Here is a 13157-nt window from a genome sequence, read left to right as displayed (position 1 = left end):
ACAGCAAAACTTCCAGATCTTGAATCTTGGGTTTTTAATCTCACAACTCATAAGGGCCCCTCCAGACTCTTGGAACTGTACATCCATTGGAAACCTTAGGTAAAGCTAACCAGGGAAGTTTCTCCCCAGAAGTAGACAGCATCCTTGATGAGGACAGCTTTTTTCCAAGATCATGAATCAAGACTTCTCTGCTAACATGAGACTCTTATCTTTCAATTTTTTCCTTGCTTATGCCTCTGCAAACAATAGGAGTGAAAAGGGGGTCTTTTGTGTGCACGCATGGGGTATACTTTTAAATGAAGAATTTTACAGCTAGCCTTATACATGGACAAACTTATGTCTTGATAGATGGAAGATAAAAGGCCAATGTAGGTAAGAAATTTTAGTGGCACATGTGTTGCTTCATAAGCAGTCAGAAGCAGAATATTCATTCACTCCTCTTAACCTATTGATGCATCACATGCTAAAGAGAACATTTCCACGATCCTTCATTCTTCTAGATGGGCATCATTTCTTAGGTCTCTTTTTCCATGGTTTGGAGTAAATGAGGCAATGATTAGAAATGTATCCCTGATGATAGGCTCTACAGCAGATTCTATTGTAAAGGCCATGGTTACACAGCAGGCTTGAAATTATCTTTTGAAGGCCAGGTGCAGTGGCTCATGCCTGTAATCCCAACACTTTGGGAGGCCAAGGCAGGCAGATCACCTGAGGTCAGGTTGAGACCAGCCTGGCCAACGTGGTGAAACCCTGCCTCAACTAAAAGTACAAAAAATTAGCTGGGCATGGTGGCGGGCGCCTATAATCCCAGCTACTCAGGAGGCTGAGGCAGGAGAATCGCTTGAAACCAGGAGGTGGAGGTTGCAGTGAGCTGAGATCACACCACTGCACTCCAGCCTGGGTGACAGAGCAAGACTCCATCTCAGTCAATCAGTCAATCAATCAATCAATCAGTAAATACATTCTCTTGTGAAAGTTATGCTAAATAACAGAATTTCTCTAGATTATTTACTGGCTAAACAGAGAAGTATCTCTGCAGTTGGTGGCACTTCTTGTTTCCTGTGGAGAAATAAATCAGGTATTATAGAGATTTGGTTGTAAGAAATGAATGAACGGGCTGCTTGGTTAAAGCGAGTAGACTCTTCATCTAGCTCATTCTTTGATCTATTTGGTTTTAGGTGGTTTGGTTTATGGGGACCCTGGCTAAGGAGCATACTCCAAACTCTGTGTATTATCCTGTTGATAGTCATAATAGTAGCCCCACTGGTGCACTGTATTCTCTCAAAAGTTTTAAATATTTGCTTGCAGCCATCTCTAGAATTTCAGATGGTGTCTCTTCAACTGGAATGACAAGAGCTCAAATAAATGTATGACCATGAGGGCACTGTAACCTATGAATGATGGGTTGAGACTGGAAACCCAAAATGATGGTAACTGAGAGTGGTGCTAAGGCTGTAAGTTTTGGTCAGACTCTCACCTATGTGAGAATGTGACCAAAAGGGAGGAATTCTTAAACGAGATTATGAAAGACCATTGTTTTAGACTGAGCTCCTGTACTAACCCCAACAGATCAGATCAAACCAAAATGGAGTCACTTATGGTAAACTTGATATAATCGAACTAAGACTTTAAAGATACAAATATATCAGAACAGACCAGGTTTTGTTTTTCTCCTGTAAACTGGACATTCCAGCATGAGGAGGTACTCTCTACTCTAACCCTTACAAAAAAATAATCTGATGTCCTTGTTCTCGCCTTACAAAATCCACTCTTCTGCTATTTCCGTAGGTTTTGAGACCAAATAAGTATGTTTACAATGGCGATAGTGACATCAATGACTACAGTTTTGGTCAATCTATCAAAATTGAGAGCATGACCGAAAGAGGGGAATCATTACATCAAATTTAGTCTAAAGCTTCCTCCTAACATATTTTTAAGTTTGCCCTCATAGTTTCCCTGTACATAGTGAACTATAACTTAAATGGAGGTATAAACAGACTGTAACCTACTCTGGTGCGGATCAGTGAGTTTTGGCCAATCAAAGAGGGCCAACTGTTCAAACCATGTTCAAATAAGGCAAATGCTGGGCTGTAACCAATCCGGCTATTTCTGTGCCTCACTTTTGTTTTCTGTGTCACTTTCCTTTCTCTGTCCATAAATCTTCTTCCATCAAGTGGCTGCACTGGAGTTTCTCTAAACCTACTCTGGCTCAGAAGGCTGCCTGATTCACAAATCATTCTTTGCTCAATTAAAGTCTGTTAAATTTAATTTGGCTGAGGGTTTGTTTTTTTTTTTAACAGAGTCTTGCTCTGTTGTCCAGGCTGGAGTGTGGTGGCACGATCTCAGCTCACTGCAACCTCTGCCTCCTGGGTTCAAGTGATTCTCCTGCCTCAGCCTCCCAAATAGCTGGGACTGCAGGCGCATGCCACCACGCCCGGCTAATATTTTGTGTTTTTAGTAGAGACGGGGTTTCACTGTGTTAGCCAGGATGGTCTCCATCTTCTGACCTCGTGATCCACCCACCTCAGCCTCCCAAAGTGCTGGGATTACAGGCATGAGCCACCGCGCCTGACATTGTTTTTCTTTTTAAACATAGCCAAGGCTGGATGATGGCAGCAGGACAGCCAGTGTGGCTTGGAGCCCACACTGTGGAGGGAGCCTGCTGTGTTGAGACCCCAGCTCTACACTGATTGTTTATCTATTGGGCCTGGGGCAAATTGATTAACTGCTCAGTGCCTCAGTTTCCCTAGCTCTAAAATCGGGGTAGTAATCATGCCTGTCACATATAGGTATACTTCTGACAGTTCCTGGTGCATCCTACTGAGAACAAGTGCCTTGTACATTGTGGGTACCCAGGAAGCCAGTTTACCCCCTCTCAGAGGAGAGCCATCAGCAGGCACTGAGGGAGCCTGGAGCCCTGCATCCTGCAGGTGCCTTGAGTCCTATGCCCAGGAGAAGCTGCTCCCTCACCCCACAGCAGTCTACAGAGCACCCACCCTGGCCAGGTGTACACTTCCCTGTGCAGGTGTCAGGAGGGAGCCATTGACTCTCTGGGCTCTGACTTTCTCTGGCAGGACTATAGGGAACCTAGAACCCAGCCTTCTCCCAGCCAGGCCCTCCCCTCCCTCCCGCAAACTCACAGTCTCCTCATCACTCTCTGCCTCAGATTCAGGACTAATCTCATTATGTCCTTTATCCCTGTTTGCGTCAGGGACTGCAAGAAGCTCAGGTCACCCTCCCCCTATGGCCCTGAACACTCCTTTTCTGACCCCATCTGCTGAAACCTTTCTTTCAAGCCTTCTGGAGGCCCCAGGGTCTCAGCCTGTTCCTGGAACATCCTCTCCCTTCTCGCTCGGACTGAAACCTAGCTCTCCCCAAGACCTGCTTCCCCACTCTGGGCGTCCTCCTATGTGGGACTGCTTTCCTCCCTCACTGTCCCTCATACCCTCACTGGAGTCGAACAGGTCCTTACAGACCATCTCCTTCTCCCGTTCTGAGGAGCCCTCTGGTTCCAAATCCCTGCACAGGCTCTGTAACCCAATTCCTCCACCCTCCCCGACACCACACCACCAGATTGCTCCTGTGGGGCACAACGTGGTCTCCATGTGTAGGAACCCAACTACCAGTCATCAGGCCTCATCTTTCTTCAGCCATCAGCATTTCCCTCAATGGATCCTCACCACCTCCCCCTCCCTAAAACATTTCCAGGAAACAAAGTACTTCTGCTTTTCTGCCCCTGCACTGTCTCTTCCACTTCCCATGGGGTGGCCCTCGTACCCCTTGTGTTTCCCTTATATGCACCTCTGGGAGCCTACCAGTGCATTTTCTGTCCTCTCCCATGCCCGTCCCACCAGCCCAGATGGTTCCACCTGGCTGTCTCATAGGTGCCTCCACTTGCCCTGAACACCCCCATGAGGTGTCTCAGGACAAGTGAATGCCTGGGCCCCTGCCTGGAGGGACATTTCTGAGGGTGCAGAGTGTGGGGCCAAGGGGTGCTGAGTACTGCACACAGGACTTTGGAACCTCCTCTCATCTGGCTGTGCTGCGGGGATGGGGATTCTGCTCCCCTGTGTCTCTGCATCCTGATCTACCGTTTCCTCTTGGCTGATGCATAAACTCCAACAGAGCTGGTGGAGCCATGGAGGGAGGAGAGGGGTGCGTCACCACCTGGGACCCTGCCATGAAGACCACACAGTACCTTGGCCCACAGCTGGACACCAGGATCTCAAAGGACTGAAAAGAGATCTGGTTGTTAGACTCCAACACAAGATGGAATGTGGATGGGAAAGTGTAGGAATCAGGACCCTGGAGTTTGTTCTGGCTCTGGCACCCTGTGGTGTGTGACCTTGGCAAAGGGTGACACACTGCTGTGGGGCTCAGTGTCCCTCAGCTGTGAGGCAGGAGTTGGAGGCAATAAGCTCAGAGCTCTTTCCCCGTCTGAGGGTGCAGGAATGTGAACCTCTTCATATGGGGAGCAGCTGCCCATCACGCTGGGGTCTACTTCTGATGGTGGTGCTGGGAGAAGCTCTGTCATGTGGATGCACAGGACAGGGCAGCCCCAGAGCTGCTTTCATTCCAGAGCCCTCTATGGGCATCAGAGACGGTGCTAGCTCAGTCCAGAAGAGCCAGCACCTGGGCCTAGGGCCTAGTTCAGCTGCACCTTTGCGGACCCTAAGGGGGGCACTCCCTTTCCCTTCTGGTCTGTCATTTTTTCCTCTTCCTAAAAACATATCTGCGAACTTGGGGAAGTAACAAAACCCAGCTGATTGTTGTGGTTTTGTTTTGTTTTAAGGGCTGGGATCAGGAGAGTAGATACATTGGAACCTGTTACCCCAGCCTCAGTGGAGGGTATTTGAAGCTCTGGCCCACACTCTCTCCTGCTAAACCATGGCAGGGATGTTTAGGAGCCCTGCTGGGCTGTGCTGCCTCCCCAGCCTGAGCCCCACCTCTCAGACTAGAATTCTGGGACTCAGATTCTGCTGTGTTGATGACAGAGACTCAGCTTAGCCTTTAATTGCTTCCTGGTGATGCCATATGTGCACATTTTGCCTTCTCAAGGACACAATCAGCTTCCTGTGGATGAGGTCACTGGAAGAGCCAGGGCCAAGGGTTGCACAGTGCCTGTGGGCTTCTGAGCTTGCGTTGAGTCGGGGACAGAGTCATCCTTCCCTGACAGTGGTGAGCAGAGGTGCCATGCACAGTGGACCAGGGCCTGGCACGTTGTCACTGACCCATAAACACTCATTTTTATCTTCCTCTCCCCTTCCTCTTTCAGCAGCTACTTTCTTTTTTCTTTTCTTTTCTTTTTTTTTTTTTTGAGACAGAATCTCAGTCTGTCACCCAGTCTGGAGTGCCGTGGCACAATCTCGGCTCACTGCAACCTCCGCCTCCCGGGTTCAAGCGATTCTCCTGCCTCAGCCTCCTGAGTAGCTGGGACTACAGGCACGTGCCACCATGCACAGCTAATTTTTTTTGTATTTTTAGCAGACACAGGGTTTCACCATGTTAGCTAGGATGGTCTCGATCTCCTGACCTCGTGATCTGCCCACCTTGGCCTCCCAAAGTGCTGGGATTACAGGCGTGAGCCACCGTGCCTGGCTTCAGCAGCTACTTTCTTTGTGTTCTCTAGAGCCAGGCAGGTAGGAAACACTCAAAAAAATGTGTGGCTGACTAAACAAGAAGTGAGCAACATCAAGAAGTTGAGAGTAAGAGAACAGCAGAAAAGAATACAGAAAACGGATGAGACCCTGAGCAACAGGAAATAGAAAGTCACCCACCCCCAGCTTCTCAAAGTGCCAGGAGCAGGGAAGTCTCCCATGTGTGTCACTGATGCAGGTGGCAATCACGTGGGGTGTGAGCAGCCAGCTCCTTTCCCCATGTGCTTTGCCCCTCTTCCAGCAGGGCTATGTGTGCAAGAGAGGAATGAACCAAATGGAAAATGCTGAGCAGAAAAATGGGGTGGCCAGAGGGAAAATCCCCACGATGGAGCTGGGGGACCCTGGGGCTTGCAGTCTTCCAAGTGCCAGTTTTTATCCAGACCCTGGGTGAAGCTGGTAGAAAGGTACAGGTCTTCTGTCCCCAGTCCCTTCTGCGGTCCTCCCTGAACCTCAGACCCTGTTGCTTGCTGGCTGAACCCTCAGGACCCTCTCTCCTGCTGCTTTCTGTTGGGGCCAAGTCCCTGTCCTGCTAAGTTGGCAAAGTGGGTGACTTTGTTACCGATGGAAGGGATCCGAGTTACCCCAAGTTACTGGTGGCCTATCCATATGGGTCTGTAGCAACTTCAGTCTTTGCCTTCTCAGAAGAAAGGATTTGACTGAGAGACATAAAGCAGAAAGAGAGACTGAGGCAAGTTCCAGAACAGGAGTGGAAGTTTATTTTAAAAGGCCTTAGAACAGGAAAGAAAGGAAGGGGTGCTTGGAAGAGACCCAGGAGGACATGTGAAGGTTAAAGAGAGAAGGTCAAGTGCCCCATTTAACCATGATCCTAGGACTTTTATGAGCTTGCCTCTTTCCCATGATTCTGCCCTTCGGGCGGGCTTTCCGCATGCGCAGTGCTTTCCTTAGCCTTTGGAATTGAGCATGCGCACTGTGTTTAGGGAGTTATATGCACGCCCGTCTGAGGCTTTCTTTCTTTTTCCAGTGGCGTGTGCCCCCGGAAGATCATACTTCACCATTTTTGTCTCCTAACTTGCATGCCCAGGAAGTTGCTTCTCCCTGGGGCCTGCATTCAATTAACATTTTGCTGTTAACAGGTGTGGAACATCAGGAAATGGCCTCTCTCTGGTGCTGTTGCGTTATCATTTTTAGAGAGGCAATGTGATAACTGCTGAACCATCACCTGACATTTCTAGTGGGTAGGGGAGAGCCCTCTCCTGCCCTGTTCACACTTATCTAAACTTATAACAACCTGGTGGAGCCAGCATGAGTTCTGGAGCCAGGTTGGGGCCCAGGCCTGACACTTAGTAGTTTTGTTACCTTGGAGAAATTACTTAATTTCTCTGAACCCAGACTTTGTAATAAATATTCAAAACAGGGGTGACTGACACCTGCCTCCTGGGAGGTAAGAAATGGCTCATGAGGAGAAGGCTGTAGGCAGCTGCCCACAACACCACCCCTCCCCCTTGCCATTGGCTTAATTCCCCCTGGGTGGGTAGCAGCTGGGATTGCCCTGATTGCATTAATGCATACTGAGGTTGGTGAACTTAATACTTCCAAAGAAAATTTGCATTTTAAAAGCCAAACTTCTCTATCTAAATGAACACCTAATTGACAGATCACTGCAGAGCATTAGGTGAGTTCAGCTTTGTTTCATTAAGCCGGGCCCTTCCAGGGTTACCCTCCTATTTCTAATTCACTCCAGTGCCACCCCCAGCCCTCCTCTTTCCAAAGAGAATGCAGGAATTCCCCTATTTTTTTTTTTTTTAGATGGAGTTTCGCTCCTGTTGCCCAGGCTGGAGTGCAATGGCGTGATCTCGGCCCACCGCAATCTCTGCCTCCCAGGTTCAAGTGATTCTCCTGCCTCAGCCTCCCGAGTAGCTGGGATCACAGGCAGGCACCACCACACCTGGCTACTTTTGTATTTTTAGTAGAGATGGGGTTTCTCCATGTTAGCCAGGCTGATCTCGAACTCCTGACCTCAGGTGATCCGCCTGCCTCGGCCTTCCAAAGTGCTATTAGGGTCCACCCCAGAGCACCCTACCTAGTAGCAATTACTTGGTTATCAGGAGTTGGGTCTGTGAGTAAGGAGATCCCTAGCATGCTGAGACTGACCAGGAGCAGCATCAAGATGAAGTGGAGACAGTGCTGTAAGCTGCAGATGAGCAAAGGGCCGTTGCTGTTCTCCATGCAGCTCGAGGGGCTATAGGCCCGATGGACCCCCAATTGAAAGAAGCCAATCACCATCCCACAAGTCAGCCTCCAGAAGGCACCCTACCAAAGAGGAGCCCACCGGAGTCACCTGGCAGGAAGGTGGGTGATGAGACAAACCATTTTCATCCTTGCTCCCCTGACTAGCTGAGTTCCAAATGTGTCCTAAATAACAGTTTTCCATCTGTCTATGTGGCACCTTCATCTCTCTGGTTGCTTAAGGTAAAACATCCTCTGGGAGCCATCCCTGGTTCCTTTCTATTCTGCCCTGCCACTGATCCATTGGTAAATCCTGTTGCTAGGCAGAGGATCCACAGGAACCATTGCTGGAGATGGGCAGAAGCCAAATTGGCATGCTCTCTGAAGCAGGGCAGGAGGGAGGGCTTGGAGAGTTCTCTAATCCAGGAAAGTATGTGCAATGTGCCCGCAACTTCAGACCATGGGTAGCAGGAGAGCCACTGACTGGATCCTCCAGTTTTCTGTGGTGATAGGTTCCAATACCCTGAGGCTGGCATCCCAGGTGGGAGGCAGAGTCCCATTACTGCCTGCCCTCTTGCTCATGCCCTTCCCAGGGAGAGCAAAGAGAGGCAGCTCTGGCATCCCTGAAGCCTAGTGCTCTCCTTCCACATGCATGGTGCTAAGCTGAGTCCTGTTAAGTTGGGTGGTGCAGGGAGCACTGGCAGGTTGGTTTAGAGGACTGAACTCAAGGGAGGAAGCGCTGGCCAGGTGGAGGAGTAAAAAAATATTTCTGGCAAAGAAAACAGTCTCTGCCAATGAAGAAAGGCCAGAGAAGGTACACGACAATTCAGTAATCAGCACTGTGAGCGTTTGGAGTGGCTGGGACCTAGGGCTGTGCATGCAGAGAGTGAGGCCAGAGAGGCAGGCAGGACCAGATCACAGAGCCTCCGGTGCTGTGCTTTTGCGATGCCCAGCTATGCAGTGCTGTTAGGGGAAACAAGATTTAATACAAGACTCAAAAATAAAAAGAAAGAAAATATCTGACAAGCTACACTTTCAGTCTTATTGATAAAATATCGAGCCATTAGTTGGGATCTTTGGTGTTAAGTGTGGCTGAAAGAGATGGTCAAATAATTACCTCCTCATTGCAGGGAAGGTGGAAGGAGCCCACTGCTATGCATCCCCTGTGGGCATGAAATCTCTAAGCATGACGCGTCCGTGTACAGAGGCCACAGAATAATATTTTCCTACAGCCAAATTGTGTGAGAGAGAACCATTTACAATTTTGCATAATCTATGGCATGGCTAAAAGCAGATTACACTACAAAGGGAGGAAAACAAATAAGAGCTCTCTGCCTCCATGAGCAAGAAGGAGCTTGGATCAACCCTGGCCTGGAGACAATCATGTCTCAGAAAGCAAATGATGCCAGGGTGTAAACCCATGAGGTGAAATAGAACCTTCTAGGGCAACACTTGCAAAGACAACTACAATGTGAAGGCAACCCATCACCCTGGTCCATGCGGTGGCCATGCCAACACCCACCTGCTCAATGACTCTCTTGCAAAACATGGTGTTGATGAAAAGGGTCAAACTCTGCAAAATATTTGAAAAGATTTATTCTGAACCAAATATGCGTGACCAATGGCTCATGACACAGCCCCAGGAGATCCTGAGAACATGTGCCCAAGGTGGTGGGGCTACAGCTTGGTCTTATATATTTTAGGGGGACATAAGATATCAATCCATATATGTAAGATGTACATTGGTTCAGTTCAAAAAGGCGGGACAACTCAAAGCAGGGAAGGTGGAGGGGCTCCAGGTCATAGGTGGATTTAAAGATTTCCTGATTGGCAATTGGTTAAAGAGTTATTACCTAAAGACCTAGAATCAATAGAAAGGAATGTCTGGGTTAAAATAAGGTATTGTGGTGACCAAGGTTTTGTCATGTAGATGAAGACTTCAGAGCTCTTATCAGACCTAAAAGGTGCCAGACTCTTAGTTAATTCTCTTGGGTCACAGAAAAGACCTGGCAAGGGAAGGGGACTTTCTACAGAATGTAGATTTCCTTCAGAAGAGACAGCTTTGCAGGGCCATTTCAAAATATGTCAAAGAAGCATGTTTGGGGCTAAAATACTTTATTTCAGGGCCTGCCATCTGTCATGTGATGCTATACTAGAGTCAGCCAGGAATTTGATGTCTTATTGCTACAAGAAGTCTGTATTGTCAGTCTTAAGATCTCTGTTTTAATGTTAATGCTGGTTAGTTATGCTCGAATTCCAAAAAGAGGAGGGAATAATGAAGCATGTCTGACCTCTACTTCCCACCATGGCCTCAACTAGCTTTTCAGGTTTACTTTGGAATGCCCTTGGTAAAGAGGGGTGTCCATCAGTAAGTTGTAGGGCTTAGAATTTTATTTTTGGTTTACATTCTCCTCCTTCTGGCCAAGATTTCCCAGAGAAAACAGCAAGCCACCAAACTTTTATTTCGTCCCACAGCATTGCTGGGGTGGTGTGGCTGCCTGCCATGGGTCCCTTCTGTCTCTAAGTGGGACTCCTACAGCCAAGAGACTTAGAGCTAAAAGACATAATTTAAATGTTCTGAGCCAGACAGGAATAAAGGTGGACAGGCATTCATCAACCCTTAACGTTCTTTTTCTTTTTCTTTTTCTTTTTTTGTTTTTTTGAGACAGAGTCTTGCTGTGTCGCGCAGGCTGGAGTGCAGTGGCACAATCTCGGCTCACTGCAAGCTCCGCCTCCCGGGTTCATGCCATTCTCCTGCCTCAGCCTCCTGAGTAGCTGGGACTACAGGCGCCCGCCACCACGCCCGGCTAATTTTTTGTATTTTTAGTAGAGGCGGGGTTTCACCGTGCTAGCCAGGATGATCTCGATCTCCTGACCTCGTGATCTGCCCACCTCGGCCTCCCAAAGTGGTGGGATTACAGGCATGAGCCACCGTGCCCGGCATAGGCTGTTGATCTATTTTAAATGACTTTTTGTGCATAGTGTGAAGTAGGGTTTCAGAGTCTTTCTTTTGCATGTGGAAATCGGTGCACCATTCTCCTGCCTCAGCTTCCCAAGTACCTGGGACTACAGGCACCCACCACCACGCCCTGCTAATTTTTTTTGTATTTTTAGTAGAGACAGGGTTTCACGGTGTTAGCCAGGCTGGTCTTGATCTCCTGACCTTGTGATCCGCCTGCCTCGGCCTCCCAAAGTGCTGGGATTACAGGCGTGAGCCACCGTGCCCAGCCAGGTGCTTGTATAGTTTTAGCAGCAGGGCATTGGCAGTGAAAAACACATCGGGCCCAGCAGGATCTCAAATGAGGGAGATTCACGGGCTTTGTCAAATTGTCTCTAGCCTTCAGAATACCATAATTCTGGTTTCCTCAGAAGAAGTAAAGCTATGTGACCTAAATAACAATAATTTGACCATCAAAAAAGAATTTGTGTGTCAGAACAGAAAAATAACCCTCTTCCATTAGAATGCCAACTAAAAACATAAAGAAAATCATAACCTTGTTTGTCTTTAGAGGACTGTTATAGCCAAGAAATAATTCATGATTTAATCTGTGCTCAGAAACAAAGGTCAGGGCTGCAATCTAGTAACAGGTGTGTGAATAGTTTTCCTTTTGAAACATAATTTTTCTCTCTCTAGCCCTGTTTTTCCACTAAAGAGAAATCATGGTAAGGCCAATTTGTGTGTAAGTTAAGTTTTAGGCTTATACTTGGCCTAATTATGTGCATAAAGTTCAACAAGAATTGATTGGCCACATAGGCTCTTTTCAAGTTGGCTTTGCTGGGACTCCTAAAAATATATTATTTAGTCAAAGCCTTGGTAAAATAACCAGTGTCTCCAATTATGTCCTCTTAACCGAACTTATGCAAACAAGTATATTGCCATAAAATAAGGATACTCATGAATAGTTACCGAATTTAGGGGAACTCAGGTAGCAAGAAAGGTAAATTCTGTTCATAAAAGTATACTTCACAATCAGAGTAGCAGCCTTCCAAATAGGATGTCAGTTGTTCACCTAGGAACGGCCATCCGCAAACTAAGCAGCTCTTTGTCAGTCAGGGAAGAGCTATTTATCAAGCACTGTAGAATCTAGCAGCTCCTCATGCAGTGTTAATCCTAAGGGGGAAAAGAAGCTCCCTGCTTGCAAGTATCTTCTCCTTGCATTTTCCAGGAAGCAAGATCTTACATAAACCATTTGTTTTCTCATGGAACTCTTTTGGGCATCATTATTTCCATTACTGCAGGGATAGCTTCAGGTCCCTTATATTTTTACGTTCTTGTTCTAGGAACATTTCTTCTCTATCCCAGACCGTTTTATCTTCCCTGGTGAGAGTGAATCTGGGTTTCCAGCAGGGGGGCTGGGTGAAGGGCCTCAGGCCCTTTTGTCAATCATTATCGTAATTTGCCTCAACATTGCCCCAGGCAATGTCAGCTCTCTCATTTTAACTCCGTGTCTTTTGATTTTTCTTAAATTTCTCCAATCTGGAGCAAATGCAGAAAGCAGAAAACTAAAAACTGGTGTCGGGCTTTATAATGTTGGGGACCAGCAGGGGCTCCCTTTAGCCAATAATTTGACAATCAGAAGAGAACTTGTGTGTCAGAACAGAAAAAGAAACCTATTCCATTAGGGCATCAACTAAAAACATCAGGAAGGGAATTGTAACCTGGTTTGTCTTTAGAGGACTATTATAGCCAAGCTATATATAATAGCCACTATCAAAGCTATTATAACCTTTGATAGTGTTGTAAAGACCTTTGTTTTAACCCCATCAATTTTCATTTTATTTCATTTCTTAATAACCACTCATCTTAGAAGAGTCTTTTGACTCCCATTTGCCTTTCCTATTTTTCTTTTAAGCCGAATGTTTTATTAGCATATGCAAGACCCATGAAGAACAGCAAATTTGTTCTGCAGAAGTAATGTCACTTAGTCAGAGGCATTTGAAGTGGAGTGACTCCATCTTGTAGAGGGGCTGGGTAAAATAAGGCTGAGACCAGCCAGGTGCGGTGGCTCACGCCTGTAATCCCAGCACTTTGGGAGGTCGAGGTGGGCAGATTACCTGAGGTCAGGAGTTCAAGACCAGCCTGGCCAACATGGTGAAACCCTGTCTCTACTAAAAACTACAAAAATTAGCCGGGCTTGGTGGTGGGTGCCTGTAATCCCTGCTACTCAGGAGGCTGAGGCAGAGAAAATCGCTTGAACCCGGGAGGTGGAGCTTGCAGACAGCCGAGATTGTGCCACTGCCCTGCAGCCTGGGCAACAGAGGAAGATTCCATCTCAAAAAAAAGAAAAGAAAAGAAAAGAAAAAGGACTGAGA

The 13157-nt window shown here is 47.4% G+C and overlaps 2 annotated features.

The window, feature by feature from the left end:
• Positions 10380-11155: an enhancer, noted in NCBI's record as "H3K27ac-H3K4me1 hESC enhancer chr22:23372942-23373717 (GRCh37/hg19 assembly coordinates)". NCBI's record gives its function as "activates a minimal SCP1, AML or CMV promoter by ChIP-STARR-seq in naive H9 embryonic stem cells {active_cell/tissue: H9 hESC(naive)}" and the evidence as "EXISTENCE:reporter gene assay evidence [ECO:0000049][PMID:30033119]".
• Positions 11678-12575: an enhancer, noted in NCBI's record as "NANOG hESC enhancer chr22:23371522-23372419 (GRCh37/hg19 assembly coordinates)". NCBI's record gives its function as "activates a minimal SCP1, AML or CMV promoter by ChIP-STARR-seq in naive H9 embryonic stem cells {active_cell/tissue: H9 hESC(naive)}" and the evidence as "EXISTENCE:reporter gene assay evidence [ECO:0000049][PMID:30033119]".

This window comes from Homo sapiens, chromosome 22 (genome assembly GCF_000001405.40).
Source record: "Homo sapiens chromosome 22, GRCh38.p14 Primary Assembly".
Classification (NCBI taxonomy): domain Eukaryota; kingdom Metazoa; phylum Chordata; class Mammalia; order Primates; family Hominidae; genus Homo; species Homo sapiens.
The sequence above is the reverse complement of the archived record's forward strand: the minus strand, read 5'-3'. Positions and strand labels throughout refer to the sequence as shown.